At 45.5% G+C, this 21,292-nt stretch overlaps 1 long non-coding RNA gene and 1 other non-coding gene across 2 annotated transcripts, besides 2 other annotated features; both read left to right on the forward strand.

Moving 5' to 3' along the window:
• The first annotated feature begins 5,358 nt into the window (after window positions 1-5,358).
• On the forward strand, window positions 5,359-5,429 carry TRG-GCC4-1 (tRNA-Gly (anticodon GCC) 4-1). Its single transcript has one exon. It is a non-coding gene; the product is annotated as a tRNA-Gly (tRNA).
• An 8,781-nt stretch (window positions 5,430-14,210) lies between these two features.
• On the forward strand, window positions 14,211-20,936 carry LOC105371473 (uncharacterized). The gene is made up of 3 exons (XR_922214.3): window positions 14,211-15,948; window positions 18,248-18,412; window positions 20,014-20,936. It is a non-coding gene; the product is annotated as an uncharacterized LOC105371473 (long non-coding RNA).
• Window positions 15,813-16,042: a silencer, noted in NCBI's record as "fragment chr1:161460810-161461039 (GRCh37/hg19 assembly coordinates)". NCBI's record gives its function as "represses an EF-1alpha promoter that drives an FKBP-Casp9 reporter gene in an ReSE screen in HepG2 liver carcinoma cells {active_cell/tissue: HepG2}" and the evidence as "EXISTENCE:reporter gene assay evidence [ECO:0000049][PMID:32094911]".
• Window positions 19,073-19,212: an enhancer, noted in NCBI's record as "active region_1992". NCBI's record gives its function as "activates an Ori minimal core promoter by ATAC-STARR-seq in GM12878 lymphoblastoid cells {active_cell/tissue: GM12878}" and the evidence as "EXISTENCE:reporter gene assay evidence [ECO:0000049][PMID:35858748]".
• Window positions 20,937-21,292: the final 356 nt, after the last annotated feature.

Below are 21,292 nucleotides of genomic sequence, written 5' to 3' on the forward strand. Positions count from 1 at the left end.
TTCAATGATGTCCACCATAACTCAGGGAAAGGAAGAAAATCCTTCTGCGTTCCTTGAGTGGCTATGGGAGGCCTTAAGAAAATATACTCCCCTGTCACCTGAATCACTCAAGGGTCAACTGATTCTAAAAGATAAGTTTGTTACCCAATCAGCTGCAGATATCAGGAGAAATCTCCAAAAGCAAGCCATGGGCCCTGGACAAAATCTGGAGGCATTGTTAAACCTAGCAACCTCAGTGTTCTATAATAGGGACCAAGAGGAACAGGCCCAAAAGGAAAAGTGAGGTCAGAGAAAGGCTGTAGCCTTAGTCATGGCCCTCAGACAAACAAACCTTGGTGGTTCAGAGAGGACAGAAAATGGAGCAGGCCAATCACATGGTAGGGCTTGTTATCAGTGTGGTTTACGAGGACACTTTAACAAAGATTGTCCAACGAAAAATAAGCCACCCCCTCATCCATATCCGCTATGCCAAGGCAATCACTGGAAGGTGCACTGCCCCAGAGGACAAAGGTTCTCCGGGTCAGAAGCCCCCAACCAGATGATCCAACAACAGGACTGAGGGTGCCCGGGGCAAGTGCCAGCTCATGTCATCACCCTCACTGAGCCCCTGTTAAGTTTAACCACTGAGGGCCAGGAAATTGACTTCCTCCTGGACACTGGAGCAGCCTTCTCAATATTAACCTCCTGTCCTGGACAACTGTCCTCAAGGTCCGTTACCATCCGAGGAATCCTGGGACAGCCTGTAACCAGGTGTTTCTCCCACTACCTCAGTTGTAATTGGGAGACTTGGTCTTTTCACATGCCTTTCTTGTTATGCCTGAAAGTCCCACACCCTTATTAGGGAGGGATATATTAGCCAAGGCTGGAGCTATTATCTACATGAATATGGGGAACAAGTTATCCATTTGTTGTCCCCTACTTGAGGAGGGAATCAACCCTGAAGTCTGGGCATTGGAAGGACAATTTGGAAGGGCAAAAAATGCCCGCCCAGTCCAAATCAGGCTAAAATACCCCACCACTTTTCCTTATCAAAGGCAATATCCCTTAAGGCCTGAAGCTCATAAAGGATTACAGGATATTGTTAAACATTTAAAAGCTCAAGGCTTAGTAAGGAAATGCAGGAGTCCCTGCAGCACCTCAATTCTAGGAGTACAAAAACCGAGCAGTCAGTGGAGACTAGTGGAAGATCTTAGACTCATCAGTAAGGCAGTAATTCCTCTATATCCTGTTGTACCTAACCCCTATACCCTGCTCTCTCAAATACCAGAGGAAGCAGAATGGTTCACTCTTCTGGACCTCAAGGATGCCTTCTTCTGCATTCCTCTGCAATATGACTCCCAGTTTCTCTTTGCCTTTGAGGATCCCGCAGACCACATGTCCCAACTTACGTGGATGGTCTTGCCCCAAGGGTTTAGGGATAGCCCTCACCTGTTTGGTCAGGCACTGGCCAAAGATCTAGACCACTTCTCAAGTCCAGGCACTCTGGTCCTTCAGTATGTGGATGATTTACTTTTGGCTACCAGTTCAGAAGCCTCATGCCAGCAGGCTACTCTAGATCTCTTGAACTTTCTATCTAATCAAGGGTACAAGGTGTCTAGGTCGAAGGCCCAGCTTTGCCTACAGGAGGTCAAATATCTAGGCCTAATCTTAGCCAGAGGGACCAGGGCCCTCAGCAAGGAATGAATACAGCCTATACTGGCTTATCCTCATCCTAAGACATTAAAACAGTTTCAGGGGTTCTTTGGAATCACCGGCTCTTGCCGACTATAGATCCCTGGGTACAGCGAGATAGCCAGGCCCCTCTATACTCTAATCAAGAAAACCCAGAGGGCAAATACTCATCTAGTAGAATGGGAACCAGAGGCAGAAACAACCTTCAAAACCTTAAAGCAGGCCCTAGTACAAGCTCCAGCTTTAAGCCTTCTGACAGGACAAAACTTCTCTTTATACATCACAGAGAGAGCAAGGATAGCTATTGGAGTCCTTACTCAGACTTGTGGGACAACCCCACAACCAGTGGCTTACCTAAGTAAGGATATTGATGTAGTAGCAAAAGGCTGGCCTCACTGTTTAAGGGTAGTTGCAGCGGTGGCCATCTTAGTGTCAGAGGCTATCAAGATAATACAAGGAAAGGATCTCACTGTCTGGACTACTCATGATGTAAATGGTATGCTAGGTGCCAAAGGAAGTTTATGGCTATCAGACAACTGCCTACTTAGATGCCAGGTGCTACTCCTTGAGGGACTGGTGCTTCAAATACATACATGCATGGCCCTCAACCCTGCCACTTATCTCCCAGAGGATGGGAACCAATTGAGCATGACTGCCAACAAATTATAGTCCAGACTTATGCTGCCCGAGATGATCTCTTAGAGGTCCCCTTAGCTAATCCAGACCTTAACTTATATACCGATGGAAGTTCATTTGTGGAAAATGGGGTATGAAGGGCAGGCTATGCCATAGTTAGTGATGTAACCATACTTGAAAGTAAGCCTCTTCCCCCAGGGACCAGTGCCCAGTTAGCAGAACTAGTGGCAATTACCGGAGTCTTAGAACTGGGAAAGGGAAAAATAATAAATGTGTATACAGATAGCAAGTATGTTTATCTAATCCTATATGTCCATGCTGCAATATGGAGAGAAAGGGAGTTCCTAACCTCTGGGGGAACCCCAATTAAATAGCACAAGGAAATTATGGAGTTATTGCACACAGTGCAAAAACCCAAGGAGGTGGCAGTCTTACATTGCTGAAGCCATCAAAATGGGGAAGGAGAGGAGAGAACAGCACCATAAGCAGCTGGCAGAGGCAGGGAAAGACCAGCAGAAAGGAAAGAGAGAAAGAGACAGAAAGTCAGAGAGAGAGAGAGAGGAAGGGACAGAGACACAGAGGGAGTCAGAGAGAGAGAGACAGAGACAAAGAAGTCAAAGAGAAAGAAAGAGAGATGGAAGCAGTAAGAAAAAAACAGTGTACCCTATTCCTGTAAAAGCCAGGGTAAATTTCTGTCTACCCAGCCAAGGCATAGTCTTCTTATGTGGAACTTCAACCAATATCTGCCTCTCAGACAGTTTACAAGAAATAAAGAAATCTATCCTTACTCTACAATCCCAAATAGACTCTTTGGCAGCAGTGACTCTCCAAAACTGCTGAGGCCTAGACCTCCTCACTGCTGAGAAAGGAGGACTCTGCACCTTCTTAGGGGAAGAGTGTTGTTTTTACACTAACCAGTCAGGGATAGTATGAGATCCTGCCTAGAATTTACAGCCAAAATCTTCTGTATCAGACAACGTATTTCAAACTCTTATACCAACCTCTGGAGTTGGGCAACATGGCTTCTCCTCTTTCTAGGTCCCCTGGCAGCCATCTTGCTGTTACTCGCCTTTGGGCCCTGTATCTTTAACCTTCTTGTCAAATTTGTTTCCTCTAGAATCGAGGCCACCAAGCCTCAGATGGTCTTACAAATGGAACCCCAAATGAGTTCAATTAACAACTTCTACGGAGCACCCCTAGACTGCTGCCACTTTCACTGGCCTAGAGATTTCCAGCCTGGAGGACACTATAACTGCAGGGTCCATTCATCACCTCTATCCAGAAAGAAGTAGCTAGAGCAGTCATTGGCCAAATTCCCAAAAGCAGCTGGGGTGTCCTGTTTAGAGGGGGGATTGAGAGGTGACAACATGCTAGCAACCCTCGCTCGCTCTTGGTGCCTTCTTGGCCTCAGTGTCCACTCTGGCTGCACTTGAGGAGCCCTTTAGCCCACTGCTGCACTGTGGGAGCCCCTCTCTGGGCTGGCTGAGGCCAGAGTGGGCTCCCTCTGTTTGTGGGGAAGTGTGGAGGGAGAGGCACGGGCAGGAACTGGGGCTGTGTGCAGTGCTTGCAGGCCAGTTCAGGTTCCGGGTGGGTGCAGGCTTGGCCCCAGGCACTGAGGGGCTTAGCACCTGGGCCAGCAGCGGTGGAGGGTGCGTCAGGTCCCCCAGCACTGCCGGCCCACCTGCACCATGCTCAAATTCTCACCGGGCCTCAGCTGCCTCCTTGCATCATGCCCGAGCCCCCCCCCCCCCGGACGGTGGGCTCCTGCTTGGCCTGAGCCTCACCGATGGGCACCGCCCCCTGCTCCATGGCACCCAGTCCTATCGACCGCCCAAAGGCTGAGGGGTGCGGGAGCATGTGCGGGACTGGCTGGCAGCTCCGCCCATGGCCCTGGTGCAGGATCCACTAGGTGAAGCCAGCTGGGCTCCTGAGTCTAGTGGGGACTTGGAGAACTTTTATGTCTAGCTGGAGGATTGTATATGCACCAATCAGCACTCTGTGTCTATCTTAGGGTTCATGGATGCACCAATCAGCAGTCTGTATCTAGCTAATCTGGTGGGGACTTGGAGAAGTTTTATGTCTAGCTGGAGGATTGTAAATGCACCAATAAGCACTTTGTGTCTAGCTCAAGGTTTGTAAATGCACCAATCAGCACTCTGTGTCTAGCTAAAGGATTGTAAATGCACAAATCAGCACCCTGTCAAAACAGACCAATCAGCTCTCTGTAAAATGGATGAATCAGCTCTCTGTAAAATGGACCAATGAGCTCTCTGTAAAATGGACTGATCAGTAGGATGCAGGTGGGGTCAGATAAGGGAATAAAAGCAGGCTGCCCAAGCCAGCAGTGGGCAGCCAGCAGGGGCAATCCGCTCGGGTCCCCTTCCACACTGTGGAAGCTTTGTTCTTTGACTCTTGGCAATAAATCTGGCTGCTGCTCACTCTTTGGGTCCATGCCGCCACCTTTAAGAGCTGTAACACTCACCAGAAAGGTCTGCAGCTTCACTCCTGGAGCCAGCGAGACCACAAACCCACTAGAAGGAACGAACAACTCCAGACGTGCCGCCTTTAAGAGCTGTAACACTCACAGGGAAGGTCTGCAGCTTCACTCCTGAAGTCAGAGACCACGAACCCACCAGAAGGAAGAAACTCCAGACATATCTGAACATCTGAGGGAAGAAACTCTGGACACACCATCTTTAAGAACTGTAACACTCACCACGAGGGTCTGTGGCTTCATTCTTGAAGTCAGCCAGACCAAGAACCCACCAATTCTGGACACACTTTCCCTGGCGACCCCGGCGGTCAGTCTCTCGGCCCTGGGCAGCTGAGAAAGCACAAGATGGGACGAGTCGGCCTCTCTCCCTCTGCTATCCCTCTGTGCTGTGCCCCAGGTACCTCAACGTGACGAGAGCCTCCCCTTCTGCTCGCCACATTGGGCCAGTCTTTCGTGGATGCTCCAATGGGACGGAGGCCCATGGCAGGTTGTGACCAGTGAAGGGTGGCTGGTGGCGAGCTCTGCTGTGACAGCTTCCATTGGCATTTGCCATCAGTGCATAGGTGGTTCAGTGGTAGAATTCTTGCCTGCCACGCAGGAGGCCCAGGTTTGATTCCTGGCCCATGCAGCACGCCCTCCCATTTTGGTGCTGCAGCAGCACCAAGGCGTAGCTGCGTTCGCCTCTGCCGCCTCCTTACACTCGGGGCACGTGAGCTTGTCCTGCACTGGCTGCGCTCCCACGCATGACGCCCCTCTGCCCTTTCTTCCATGCCTCTCTTGACTGACTTAAGGATGAGGCTCTCCCCCACCCCCCCACCTGGGTAACAACAATCCCTCCAAACACAATAGTGCACCAGACACCAGCCCTTGACAGCCTCCTGGTCCTGTTTCTGTTCATTGCCCTGCCACCACCTCTGCCTGACGCATTTCACTTCAAGGAATACCGCCAGGCACCACAGGGCTTGTAGCCACTTGCCCCACCTCTTCTCTTCACATTTCACCACCTCGACCTCTTTCTCTCTCTCTCTCTCTCTCCCTCTCGCTGGCTCCCCACATCCAGAAAATGATGCCATGGTTGCCCTTCCAGTAGCAAGGAAGACGCGACTCTGGGGAGTAACTCATCACTTTCCCCTAGTTGGTCACACAGTCCTTAACGCGACCACGTGAGTGTGCACGTGGCATGTGCACCATCTATATTCAACGTGTTCCAGCTACTCCACACTCTCTCCCCTCATTCTGTCGGCACCACCACCGCCATGTCACAACTCCCAACCTAACCCCAATCCACCACTTTAGTCGAGGATGCTGCCTTGTTTCTCTCCCTTGGACCTCTTTTCATCTCAGCCCCAGACACATGCCTGAGACGTGAATGTGTATCCTGAAGACGGCTTACTTATGTCTCGGGTCCAGTTGCATTCCCTACCCCTTTGGGACGTGGGATGTCGCCTCCAGTCACTCTGTCACGATGTCTCTCCCACCCTGGGCTGCTTGCCACCTCACCCCAGCCCCACTCCATACTCTGACAGCCTAGCCCAAACAGCATCCCAGTCTCGCTGGTGGGGGTCCCCTTTGTCCACACAGACTTCATTCCTTCCCAGACCAACCCTCTGAAAAAGTACTGTTCCATCCAGCCTTCAGGCTCAGCCCTCCCTCCCCTGCCTTTGTCTCACCCCATCTGCTCTTTCACTCACACACAGACACACACACAAACACACACACACACACACTCTCTCTCTGTCTCTCTGTTTTTCTCTCTCACTCTCAGTGTCTCTCTCTCAGGCAACTCTCCCTCTTGCAGTCAATGACCCTGTCTCACATGACTCACATCCCCCAGTCCTGGGCTGCTTCAGGTTGTGTCACCAGCTGGCATCCCTCATACCGCACAGGTAGCCAGCACAGGCAGTTTGGAACATGCCCCAATGCCCTAGGCATGTGACCAACCTCCTTCTGGATGGACAGCCTCGGTCCCAGATCTTGCTAGTCAGCCTGTGCACCCCCTGGACACTCTGGACTCTTTCTCCCACCTCCCAGCATGTGGCATGCTTCTGTCCTTTCTTTGGTTTCAGCCCCTTGCCCCAGTGTGGGGTGGACTCCGGCCACAGGAATGGACACCTTCGTCCATCACTGTCACCCGTTGACATCCACCCACATCACGCTGGCAAGCAAGCTAGCCTCCCGTGGGGATGGCAAACATCTCTATCCCTGATCGGGTCTGGTCTCTGCGGGTGATCCAACTGTGCCAAGATCCCACGAATGACACGGGACAGGTTTGTGCAGTTGGTTGGGCGTCTACTTTGACCCTAAAGAGTGTTTTGGCAGTAAGTCGACTGAGCTCTGCTTTTTAGTGAGGGAATCAGCCCCACAAAAAGATCAATGCAGGGATAAATAGAGGGTTGGAGAGCTGGGCTGATCTGTTCCAAGGAGGGGATGGGAAGAAATTCCACAGCAAATATAGGTGTTGCAGATAGGTGCCATCTCCTTATGTTCCTTGCCATTTGGAGAGAAGATAGAGTAGGTGAAGAAATGGGAAATAAATGTCACCTAGATATCTATCTTGAACCCTGACTTTCCACACATGCTTTGGTTTGCTTGGCTGTTGGGTTTTCCCCAGGAGCTCCTGTATCTCCGTGCTTCAAAATCCGTTGCCAGGTTGGTCTAACTCTTGGGACTTCTCAAATTCATTTTCACATCCAGAATAGGTGAGAAACTTAAACTTGTCAACTGTAAGTGGGAGCTTGCATACATGCAGGAACTCTGCCTTGCACAAATATAGGCACAGACGCACGTGCAAACAGGCAACTGCTGGCACCTATGCACACCACCTAATCTTATTAGAATGTGTACAATAAACACATAGTAATGGCCAACTAACGGGTATATGAAGAAAATGCTCAGTATGTCCAATCATCAGGGAATGTAAATCCAAACCACGATGAGGTGTCATTTTATCCCAGCTAGGATGGCTATCATTAACCAGAAGGGAAACTAACTGAATTTGGACAGGAGGTCGATAAAAGGGAATACTTAGAAACCTATCTCAGGAAGAAAAATAAGTACAGCCATTAGTGTTAAGAAAGTGTGTTTATTTCCAAATGGCAGCATGTGCATTAAGAGCTAAGAAAGCATACGTGGAGTCAGTTTAAATGTTAGCTACCTTTCACTTGTTTAATTCTAGTGCTCTTGTAGGAAATATCAGTTTAGCTAGTTGTGTGCTTGTGCCTGGAGAGAGAAAGACACACGTTCCATAATATTTAGAGTGCCTGCTGCATATCCTGCCTGATGGAGTTCTTGCTCCACAAAGGAACTTCCGTCCTTGAAGAGAGTACAATCTGTATCTTCTAGAGGGGTTTCACTGAGATCCTCCCTGGCTGCAGAGGTCTGTACCACAACTTGCTCACAGTTATCTTTAGGTTTCCCAGTTTCCTAGGGATGGACAGCGGCTGGGTTTAGGTGAGAGCAAGTTTTTAACTGGATTATAGGCCCTTCTTACAGCAGAGCCTGATATTTAAAGAGCCGTCTGTCCATTAGCCAAAGGTTTCCCCTAGAGGACAGCAATCCTACTACATTACGTGGAGGTATAAAGAGTTCTGCCATTTCCCAGGGATAATTTGGTAGCCTCTGGTACCAGTAGGACCACTGCTGCTACTGCTCAGAGGCATGCTGGCCATCCTTTAGCTACCAAATCAAGTTTCTTACTCAGGTAGCCCACTGGTTGTTGAGATGATCTTTAGGCTTGACTTAAAATTCCCAGTGCCATTCCCTTCCTTTCTAATATATAAAGATTGAAGGCCCTCCCTATGGGAAGGCTGAGGGCTGGTGCCTTAAGTAAGGCTTGTTTTTGCTGGTTAAAGGCCTTTTGAACTTCAGGTTCCAAGGTCAGGAAATGAGTTTTAGCCAGCTGAGTTTCTTTTATGAGGTGTTATCAGGGGTGAGCTATCTCACCATACCCAGGTATCCATAGTCTGCAAAATCCTGTCATGTACCAAAATCCTCTTAGTTGCTTGAGGGTCTTAGGAAGGGGGAAGGAAGAAATGGGTTCAATCCTTTCTACCCCTAATGCTCTGGTCCCTTCAGACAACAGTAAACCTAGGTACTTCACTGAGGTTTGGCAAAGCTGCACCTTGGATTTTGAAACCTCATATCCTTTGTCAGCTAGGAAATTAAGAAGAGCTTCTGTGTCTTCCTGAGAAGCTTCCTCAGTTGGGGCACAGAGCAGGATGTCATCTACATATTGTGAGACCCTGACCTGAGGATGAGAAAACTCAGAGAGGTCCTTTGATAGTGCCTTTCCAAACAAGTGAGGACTATATTGAAATTCCTGAGGCAGCACCATCCATGTTAACTAGGTTGTTTGGCCAGAACTTAGAAGACAAACAGGTATTGAGAGTTAGGATATAATGGTATACAGAAAAAGGCAACCTTTAGATCTAGGACTGTGAACCATTTAGTTCCCTCAGGTATTTGAGTTAGCAAGGCATAGGAATTAGAGACCACTGGATGAATTGGGACTATGGCCTATTAATGAGGCAGAGGTCCTGAACTACTCTCCATTCCCCATTGGGTTTTTGTACTCCTAATATTGGGGTGTTGCAGGTGCTTTTACAGGGTTTGAGGAGGTCCTGCATTTTCAGGTTATTAATAATGGCTTATAGCCCTTTCCTAGCTTCTGACTTTAGAAGATATTGTCTCTGGTTAGGAAAATAAGTAGGATCCTTAGGGTTGATCTGGACCGGCCTAGTGGTTAAAGCTCGACCTTATTCTTCCTTCAGTTGCCCATACTTCTGTATTAATATTAGCTTCCACCAGGGGAAGACAAAGAGTTTCTTCTGGGGCTATAAGGATGCTGGTGGCCATGTGAACTAAATTGTCTCTACCTAGTAAAGGAGTGGGACTTTCAGGCACAATTAGGAAGACATGTGTAAATAATAGGTCCCCTTAACTGCAAGTAATGGGCTGAGAAAAATATTAGGTTAGAATCTTTCCTGAGATGCCCATCATGGTCATGCTATGGGAAGATGGGAGGCCTGGATTGGAAAGGAGAAGAGAGAGAGACTGGATCCAGTGTCCAGGGGAGGTCCACCCTCCTTCCTTCAATTTCCAGAATCACCTGGGGCTCCTGAGCAGAAATGGAAGTTTGAGCCTCTGGAGCCAGGGTTTTCAACTCTGGGACCCATCAGTCCTGTTGGAGCATCTGTGAGATTGGTTCTGAACCCAGTGACCTCCATCTCTGGGGACAGTCTAATCTCCAGTGGTCCCTGATATCAGCTGGGCAGGGTTGAGGTAGCTTCTTCTTGCTGCCTGGACAATCTTTCTTAAAGTGCTCTTACTTGCCACACTGGTAGCCACTAGTGGATGCACCTTGGGGATCCTGGACTTTGCAAGCTTGCAAAGCAGCTACTAGAAACTCTGTCTTTCTCTAGTGTTTTCTCTCTTTCTCCTGGGCCTTTTCCTGGTCCCTATTATAAAAGACCGAGGTGGCCACTCTCAGGAGGTTTTCCAATGTCCTATCTGGTCCTATAGCCTGCTTCTGCAGTTTCCTTCTAACATTGGGAGCTGCCTGTGTAATAAACTTGTTCTTTAGGATGAGTTATCCCTCGACTGAGTAAGGGGATAAGCAGGTGTGTTTATTAGTGCATCTCTCAGCTTTTCCATGAAGGCTGAGGGATTCTCATCTGGCTTTTTGTCTATTCATGAACAGTTTAGAGTAATTAAGAGGTTTGGCTCTAGTTCTTTGTAGGCCCTCCAATATGCACATTAAAAAGTGTTTCCTTTTCCATTCATCTTTGGAGTCACTGGAGTTCCATTCAGGGTTGTCAAGAGGTACCACCTCTCTTCCTATTGGGAATGATGATTCCCCTATTTCTTTGCCTTCCATATTTTCTCTTTTCCTTTTTGGCCTACTATAGGAGACATATTCCTCATCTCCAAACTTCTCTGCTGTCTGTAGAGCTGACTGTTTTTCAGCTGTGGTTAGGGTTTGGCTTAAGAGCAGCATAATGTCCCTTTATGTGAGGTCAAACACCTGAGTTAAATTTTGGAAAGTTTATATATACCTACCAGGGTCATTAGAGAATCAGCCTAAGTCTCCCTTCATTTGCCTAAGGTCCTGTAATGACAAGAGAACTTGAACCCTAAGATGGCATCACCTTCATTGGGCATTTCATGTAGGGGTAAGAACAAAGTTGGGAGAGTGGGGAGTTGTGGAGATGGTAGAACTGGAGGAGCTGATGAAAATGTTGGAGGGGGCTCTGAATAAGGGGGACAAAAAGGGCCAGGACACTCAATCACTGCCTCAGATGGTTCCCCCAGGAGTTGCTTCTCTAATTTTGGGGAATCATTCCCTTTGGGCCTGCCTGATATGACTACTAAAATAACTGGGTCGATTGTGCAGTGCTTGAAAAAGTCTAATAAGAAGGCCCTGCCCTTGTGCAAAAGCAGAGTTTCAGGGTCAAAGGAGTCTCAGTGCTTTAGAATACACTCAAAAGGAGTCCTTTGTTCCCTCCTTCCTTTGGAATGGCCCAAGGTTGAGAGGAAGACAGTGGGGGCATGCTCCCAACTGTTTTCCCTCCTTGGTTCCCTGGGCCCTGGCATCCACTAAAGGTGCCACCCATGGATGCAGGCATGACCTGCAGCCATGGATCCAGAGGAGCCAAATGATGGAGTTAGTCATGCTCACCCATGTGACTCTAGTCCGCTTGTGATTTCCCTTTGACTTCCTAGACTTGTGTGATCCGTATGGCTCCCCGATAGATAGACCTCAGGAAAGACTATGTAACAGTTGTATTTGGCAAGGCCCATTAATGAAGGGAATGTACTTAGTTGAGTTCTATAATCTGCTATTGTGGCCTAAGAATAAAGCATTTATTCTTAGGCAGTGGTTGTGGTTAACTTCTGGACATAAAATCTCCTTATTATTTAAGTACCATTTTAGTTGGAGGAAAATAGGTGTCTTAAAAGATTGTAGGGACCGAATGGCGGTTTTTCTGCTGATGTAACAGTATTGGGGCTAAAATTTGGTTTTAGAGGACATTTTTCTCTCATTGTTGAGTTTTCCTATTCATAGATGGGACATACAGCCTGGTCTCTAGTAGAGGGGAGCAAAAAGGGAGAAGAATTAGAAAATAGAGTGTTTCAGTAAAGGGCTTTGCCAAGATGGCTCATGGAGAGGATTTCTATTCCACTAGGTGGCGCTGTTTAAATACCATGTGCTCTCCAAACCAAGGGGAGAGAGAGAGATGTTCACTGGGGGCAAGGGTGGGGTGGTGGTGCGAAACTTTTTGTTCCTAGAAAAATCACAAAAATGGCATTCCCTTTAGCTATATTCCTGGTTACGATGGCATTTGTTGATCTTGACTAACAGGATTATTTTCCTGAGCTGTATGAATTCCCACAGCATTGCATACAGAGACTGGATAAGAGACATGGTGATTACGGACAAGAAAGCAGGAAAATTGCCATAGGAAAAGCTGGAGATCCTGTTGCTGACACCCAACAGTGTGGCAGTTGGAGGCTTGGGTTACTCCAGAAGCCTTCAGGTAATACAGGGGTGTGGCCCTTGCCTGGAACCATCAGTTGCCTCTGGACCTTTTCCAGCCCAACATGACAGCTAGGATCTCCATGAAAGGAAACTGGTTTAAACAGAGCGAACTTTCCCAGCACTCTGAGGCCACTGGGGTGTTTGCCAAGATCCTCCCACCAAGTGTGTCATCTGAGTCTTGAGATCCGTGGCCACCTTAAAGGTTTTAAACTGGCCATCAGACACTCAGTTTTTAGTTTAATTTTAAAATTGAGGGCAGAAGGCCCTGAAATGAAAGTAAATATTTGGAGTCTGCTCCTATCCTCACCCTTCTGATGAATCTACTTTGGATCCTAGATGGGCCCCCACAATGAAATGGCCTCATTGTCTGAGGTGATACCCAAGGTCCGTTGTCTCACAGTCAAGGAAATCAAGGACGTGAACACACAGAGAATGAGGTTAAGAGCAGAAGTTTAATGGGTGAAAGAAAAAGAATACCTGTCTGCTGGAGAGAGGGGTCCCAGAGAAATCAGTTTCCAGATCTGCAGTGAAATGCAGGGGGTTTTATAGATACCTGGTGAGGAGGCAGTGTTTGATTTACATGGGGCATTAAAGATTGGTTGGACTAGGTCTACCATTTGCATAGGGTGCAAAAAACTGGTTAGGACTAGGTGTGCCATTGCCTAGGATGCAAATTTCTGGCCGCTCCCACTCTAATCTTTTATTATGCAAGTGGGTCTTCTTCCTGAGCTGGGCCATGTCGCCTGTTCCTTTACTGTACATGTGGTAACAAAAAAAAACATAAAGGAAGATGGAGCCTGAATGTTGGATATGCCTGGCCCCCGGGTAGCCCTTTTCTATTGGCACAGCTGCTGGCATTCCCCTGTGCAAGCTTCCAGCTTGCTTATGTATGTTTGCAGCTCAATGTTTTAGGCTGCTCTTTGTTAGGAAAAAATAATTTCTTGGGCTGATTTCTCTTAAAAGGAAAGCTCTGCTGAGGACTCTTTTACCTTCACTATCTGCCTAAATAATTTCTTTCTGCCTCCTGTATCATCGTGGCCACCAGTGGACCCACCACAACCACCACCATCATGACCACTACCATCAGCACCACACACTGTCACTTGCATCTGGCCACTGAATGGGCCAGGTCTCTCCAGCAGCACTGCTTCCACAAAGCCAAGCCTGGTGGCTGATAGGCGGCTTCTCTCTCAGCTGGGAGAGATCTGTGCCTAATGGTTGGGCCACTTGCAAGAGCCACTCACGCCAGCAAGCTCTTTTCCAAGGCATACCAGACCCTGAGCCCAGGGTTCATGATTGGGCTCCACATGTGTCAGCAGCTTTGGCAGGGATGGCAGCAGAACTTGAGAAGCTGAGACCATGTGCTATGGTGCTGGGGAGGAGGAGATGTGAAAACAACTCTTTTAGCATCATAATGTTTTTCTTCATCTGGACATGATATTAATGAGATTCCTGTGATATGCTGTAACGTGTAGATTGTGTAGTGATCCAGTGAGGGGATATAGGACATCCATCCTGTGGGTATCTGTCATCTCTACCTGTTGGGAACATCTCAAGTGCTGTCTTCTAGCTCTTTGGAAACACACTCTAGTAGAGTTAAGTAAGTAGAGATAAGTAAGTAGAGATAGGTAGGGACAGACAGGGACAGATAGGGATAGATAAAGACCAGCAAAGACTTGGAATATAAGGTCAGTGCCCCAAAGAGGTACAAAAGTAGAGACTAGCAAAGACTAGCAGAGATTTTCAGGGACAGATAGGGACAGATAGGGTCCTATAGGGACTTGAATGAGGAAGGTCTGCTGGAACAGAAAAAATTAAAGAACAGAAAAAACTAAAACCAACCAGATAAATGAGAAATCCCGTTACAAGTCTGCCGGCAGCAACATAAGGTCATTGCTCTAAAAAGGTACTGGTCAGTGCCCTAGAGGTACAAAGAATGGGAATTTTTTTAATCAGGGTAACATGAGGAAGAATTTGGTTATTTCTTTTCTCTTTTTTGTTTGGAGTTTGGTACATACCATCTTCTTGTCATTATTTCAGGGTTTAAGATAATTGTTTTGCCCCACCTATAGCACCTATAGAAAGTAGTGAACAGGAGAGGGAGAATGAAAATTGGCTTGTACCATCTTTTATGGCTACAGAAAGGCTAACTTTAGCTTTGGCTTTCGTGGATTGTAAACGTGTGCTGGCACCTGTGAGGTGTGCAGAGGACTTGGGAGGTTTTCTCCGAGCTTGTCAAGAGGTGGGAACTGAGCTTCATTGCTCTGCAGTATTGACTCAGGAAATGGCTACTTTGGTAACTGACAGATCTAAAAGAAGCCAAGGGTCAAACCCTAAAGTGGGAAAGTGTTATAAGTATAGAAAAATTGGACACTTCAAAAAAGAAGGCTGCCAGACCTCTGGGAAAAAGGGATCTTATAGTTCCCATCTTAACAGAAAAAACACCAGGACTTTGCCCTCCTTGTAATAGTGGAAATCACTGGGCTAATCAATGCCACTCAAAATTTCATCAAAGTGGCATCCCCCTGTTGGGAAACGAGAAGGGGGTCTGGACCCAGGTACCTCAAACTATGAAGGCATTCCCTGTCCAGGCCACAACTTCATCTCAGGGTGGGTTTCCGGAGGCACATTGGTTCCCTCTCCCTGGGAACACCTGGAAACACAGTATTAGCTCTCCTAGATAGAGAACAAATTATGTTAACTAGAGGAAACAAACTCACTAAGATTCCCATTGGTATTTGGGGATCTTTGCCAACAAGATACATGGGATTGATTTTGGTAAAAGCTGTCTTACAGGCCCAGGAGTTGTTGATTTTGATCGTGAAGGAGAAATTCAGGTAGTGGTAATGTCACAAGATCTTTGGGTTTTTGAAACGGGAGAGTGTATTGCTCAGTTGTTGCTTATTCCCTGTAAATTGTATCGTTCTCTACCCAAGAAGAAAGAGGAGGTCAGGGATTTGGAAGCACACCTAAGAGATTTATCTATCACAATGCATAGCATCTCACAGACCCACTTGTGCAGTGTAGATTGAAGAAAAGTTTTGTGGGCTTATGGATACGGGAGCAAGAGACTGGTCTCTCGTGGTAATAGATCTTGAAGATTATTTACGAGAAGGAGAAGTCTTCATTTGCTTTTTCTGTGTCTTCTGTTAATCAGAAAGATCCTGTCTCTTCTGTGGAAAGTTTTACCCTGCAGTAATTAACCAAAGAGGCAGAAGCTGAGTTTTACAGCTTGTAGAACAAATGCTCAGCAACGGCATGCCTCCTGGCTACAGCCACAAGAGCCTTTGCCTTTGTTTCAGTAGATTTACTAACGTGGGGATGAGGGTATGCTTGTGTCCTTACAGAAGATGAACAAACCATGTGGGTGCCCTCAAGGTGTGTATGACCATGGAATGGGAGACTGGAAGGACCCATGGATCCCAACCATGGACCTGGTTCCCCAGTATGAGCCATGAACCACTTGAATTTGAATGCGAAGATGAAACGAGGACCAACCGGAGTCATGCTGACATCAACCCCGATAACATGGGGACAGATCAGGAAAACCACACAGGAAGCTGAGAAACTGCTGGAGTGCCAGGGTTTCACCTTTTGCTGGAACTCAGAGGTACGATCGATGCTTAACAGACCAATGCTTTGTGACTGAGCTCCTCTCTACCCTGAAAACAAGAGACCCTAATAGGCAGGAATATAATCACCTCTATTCAGCATGAAGAAGTTGCAGAAGATGGACCTTCATCCTTCTGCAACCCTTAGGATTAAGGGTCCTCTAGTAAAAGGGAAGGGGGAGATATGTAAGAAGCATTCAAACCAGAGCAACTCTATTTTGAATAAGGGCTAAGAAAAATGAAGCTGGATCACCAACCGGCAATTAAGGGTTACACAGCCTGCAATTGCCTTGCTCAATTAATTTAAAAACAAAAAGGAGATATTGGAGGCCGCACAAATGTTTCTTATGATTAGGCATAATTGAAGCCTGTCAGTAACAACATGAACCTGTGATCAGTTAAGCAGCCGACAAATCATTACCTCATCCTCCTTATCTTGTTACCCAATCAATACGACGGGCTGTAGAAACTCAGGGGCTGCCCTTGCTCACTAGAAGCAGGGAGCTCTCTTCTTCTTCCCCAGTTCCCCTTTCTTTAAGATCATTTCTTTTGTTTTTTATCATTTCTGTGTTTGTCCCTTTGTTCAGTTGTAATGATGGTCAAGTGGTAACCGTAGTAACTGCTGTACCTTTGGTCTCAAGCAGTAACAGTAGTAACTGCTGTAGTGATGGTCTCAAGTAATAACTGTAGCAGTCACAGGTTCATATTGTTACTGACAGGCTTCAATTATGCCTAATCATAAGAAATATTTGTGCAGCCTCCAATATCTCCTTTTTGTTTTAAATTAATTGAGCAAGGCAATTGCCACAAACCTCTCTTCACCACAGTCACCCATACACCCTCTCCAGCCTCTGGTATCTATTATTCTACTCTCTACCTCAACAAGGTGAACTTTTTGAGCTCCCATATAGGAGTGAGAACATGCCCTTTCTTTCTGTGCCTGGCTCATTTGATGTTACACTGTGACCTCCAGTTCCATCCATGTTGCTGCAAATGAAAGGATTTTGTTATTTTGTATGGCCAAATAGTATTCCATGGTGTATATATGCCACATTTTTTTTTTTCATTTCCTGACTGATGGACACTTAGGTTGATTTGATGGTTCTGCAATTGTGGATAGTGCTGCATTAAACACAGGGGTGCAGGTATCCCTCTGATATCTGGATTTCCTTTGTTTTGGATAAATACCCAGCTGTGGGATTGCCGGATTCAATGGTAGCTCTACCTTTAGTTATCAGAGTGGGCAGGGGTTTGTTTGTTTTGTTTTGAGAAATCTCCATGCTATTTTTCATGATGACTGTACTTATTTACCTTCCCACCAATGGTGTCTAAGTCTTCCCTTTTGTCTATCTGCTTGCCAGGATTGGTTATTTTTCCTTCTGTTTAATGATAGTCATCCTAATTGGGGTAAGATGACAGCTCATCGTGGTTTCAATTTGCATTTCCCTGATAATTGGTGATGTTGAGCATTTTCTTCTTACACGTATTGGTTGGCCATTCCTATGTATTCTTTGCCCACTTGTTAATGGGTTTAGATGGTATTTGTATGTGGTGGTGGTCAGCTGTGTGTGTGTGTGTGTTCCTGGGCTTGCTCACTGTTGATATGTTTGAGTTTCTTGTGTATTCTGGATGTGAAAATGAATCTTGAGAGTTCTGGCTAGTTAGACTAACCTGGCAATGGAGGTTGAAGTGTGGAGAGAGAGGATCCTTTGGGGAAAACTGAACAGTCAAACTGACCAGGAGTGTGTGTGGTGGGGGGATGGGCATCAGGATAGACTTCTAGCTGACATTTGTTTTTCACACAAAGAACAACAAGAACAACACACACACTAACAATGGATGTATGTACGCAGACAGAGACACTTATAGAGAATTGGCCAGGACTTTGCCACAGCAATCCTTCTGTCAATGGAATCTTTGTGACTGAAAGGTTACTTTTCTCTCTGCTGAGGGCATCTTTGTCTACTGGTTTTGCCACGTGTCAGAGTCTGTGATTTCTGAGGATAACACTTATGCCATCAAGTGCTCAGGCTGTTTCACTGGTTCCAGATCCTGAGCTGTGTGTATAAAAAATTGAGGTTGTGTACTCTCATTTATGTTTCAAAAATTTCATTTAATTTACATATATTTATAGTGAAATGAGAAATCTTACTCATTTTTGGGATGTTGATGTATTAGTCTTTAATCAGGTATTTCTGCAAATGAGAAATCTTACATACTCATTTTGGGGTCTTTGAAGATGTATTAGTCTTTAATCAGATATTTCTGCAAGCATTCAGTGTGTCTTATCATTTGCAGCTTGGTGGACAGCCTGTGGATAAAGTGAAGGTAAATGCTGTCTAAAATGAGGAGAGGACACACACAAACACACTGAAAAGAAGTCCGTCTGAAGGTGTAGACAGAGACTCAAGTCATGTTGCCAAAGACCAAGGAATGTCAAGGATATCTGGGAGTCAGCAGAAGGTAGGAGGAGGCAAAGAAGGATTCTTCCCTAGTGGAAGCATGGGAAGCCTTTAGTGGGAGCATGGTCCTGCTGACATCTTGATTTCACGCTTTTAATTTCCAGATCTGTGATAGAACAAATTTCTGTCATTTTATGCCACCCAGTTTGTGATAATTTGTTGCAGCCATCCTGGGAAACGAATAATACTTGCGAACTCATCTAGATTTTGTCTTTAACATCCTATTATATATCCTTTATCACATGTCCATCCATCTATGCAAACTTCTAATTTGTGATATTTTTTAGCCTTTGGTATTATTTTAAATATTTGGTAGTGCAGCATTGCTGAAGGTCTGAGAAAATGGTCACTATTATCGTTTTTTTTTGAATGTGAAATTATAGTACTGTTACTGCTGTTACTGTATGGGAATCCTAGGTTCTTCTTAACTTGGAAGAAGGAATGCAGCCAAGAGACGTATAGCAAGGGTTAAGTAGCAGAGTTTATTGAAGAAAGACAAAGTACATGCCTAGAGAGGAGTAGAAAACAGCTCCAAGCTGGCCTGGCTGAAAAAATAGTAGTAGTAGTATCTATTTAAGTAGACATTACACTCTGAAAGATGAGTCTGAGTGGGTTGCTCAAAAGAATAAGCCAGCAGCTGGTAGTGCTGGGTGACTCTCTCTATGAGAATCTTACATAATTATTCATGAAAGGGCTTGAGGGGGTGTCACTTGCAAGCATGTTTTGGGAGGTCCCTTTGGGCATGCATGCTCTGTGGTTGTACATGCTGGTATACATGTTGCAGGCCTAATTAGCATTTAAAATCTCCACCTAAGGGTGTGTTTTTACTGTTAAAATGAGCAAAAGTATAGTCTAGGGCAAGTTTTTGGAGGATTGCGTTTGCCAGTGGGGAAAATCCCTAGCATGGTTATCTCTAGCTAGGGCCTGATAAGTCCCCTTCAGGGCTGGAGGAGCCTAACCACAAGGCCAGATGTAGCCAATTTAGCCATTGTCTTTTTGGTGACTGTCCGTGGGCAGCACTGACTATAGTGGGCAGCATCTCCAGGACTTCTTTCTCCAGGGGGCTCCCTTGCCTGCTCATTTCCGGCTGTCTACCTAATCTAACACTACAAAGTTTTGGAATAAAAATTTGGAAGAATGCGTCTAAATCTTAATGTTTATTCTTAACCCTAACAATTCCACTCTAGATATTTATCTTACTCAAATATTTGCACCCATTGGCAAAGTTGTATCTTCATTGCTTCATTATCTCTAATATAGAAAATTAGGAAATATGCCACATATTTATAGTTAAGAGCCTGTATATGAGCTACATGACACTATGTGGCAGTTTAAAAGTATAAGGGAGGAGTAGGTAAGTACATATGTCAGTGATACTTTTGTGGTAGTCAACCTCTAAAACAGCCTCTAATTATCCCACCTTCTTATATTCATACCCCCTGCAGATCGCTCCCACATCATATCACAATTTGTCTTTGTAAAAATAGAATATGGCAAAAATGTAGGTACATCTCTTCTAATATTAGGTTGTAAAAGCCTATGGCTTCATCTTAGGCTCCCTGTCCCTCTTTCTCTGTCTCTCTCATAATCCACTTTTCACAGAAGCCAAACATCATTTTGTGAGGACACACAGGTACTTCGAAGAAGCCAGTAGACATTTTGTAGGACATACAGGCAGCCGATGGAGAGGCCCACATGTGGAAGAGCTAAGGCTACCTAAGTGAGCAACCACCAGAATGAGCTTGGAATGGCATGCTCCAGCCTCAGTTGAAACTTCAAATAATGGCAGCCCCAGCTAACAGCTTGACTGTAACCTCATGAGGACCCTGTGCCAGAACCATGAGGCTAAGCTACTCCTGATTCCTAACCCACAGAAACTGTGACATAATAAATATTTGTTAGCTTAAATTGGTAAGTTTTACAGTAACTTATTATGCAGTCATAGATAACTAATATAAGTAGTTCATTAGAAAAGTAAATGGTATCAAAGTATAATCATATAGGTGATAATAAATCATGTGTATGTATTTTTCACATAACCCCCTGAAATTCATGACATGATAATATGATGAGTAGGGATTTATGTCATTTGTCTTTCTGTATTAAATATTTTTACAATTAGCTTCATTTAACAGCTTTATTGACATGTAATCAACAAACAATAAAATGTACATATGTTGATGTTCTATCTCCTAGTACCTGCAAGTGTGAGCTTATTTACAAATGAGACTTCTGCTTTCTACATAGTTAGTTAAGATTAGGTCATATTGCAGTAGAGTGGGCCCCTATCTAATATGACTTGTGTCCTAATTTAAAAAGTGAAATTTGGATAGAAAGACAGACATACAGACAAGGAGAACACCATGAGAAGTTGGAGCTCTGCTGCCATATGCTGAGGAACTACCAGAACCTAGGAAAGTGGCCTGGAACAGATCTTTCCCTAGTGCCTTCACCCTACTGACACCTTGATCTTGGACTTTTGGCCTCCAGAACTGTAAGACAATAAATTTCTGTTTTTTAAGACACCTAGTTTTTGGTACTTTGTTACGGCAGCTCTAGAAAACTAATACATTGGGTTAAATAAAATATATTGTTAAAATTAATTTTAAAAATGTAAAATTGAATTTCTTATATTTCTATTGGTATATTTTAGAGGTATATTCTAGAGGTATATTTAGCAACAAATTTATCCTGTCAGGTTTAACAGGAAGTGATTTCTTCTCCAAGTGCTTTATGTGGGGACGCCTATTTACTTCACGTCCCCAGTTAATATAGAAAGTCAATCTATAATCAGCAAACAGCAAACAGCAACTGGTATTGCTTTGGTATTTACCTAGACACTCTTCCACTGATCTGTAATCCAAATCTCAAACTCTCAGGT

This window comes from Homo sapiens, chromosome 1, assembly GCF_000001405.40.
Source record: "Homo sapiens chromosome 1, GRCh38.p14 Primary Assembly".
Lineage (NCBI taxonomy): Eukaryota > Metazoa > Chordata > Mammalia > Primates > Hominidae > Homo > Homo sapiens.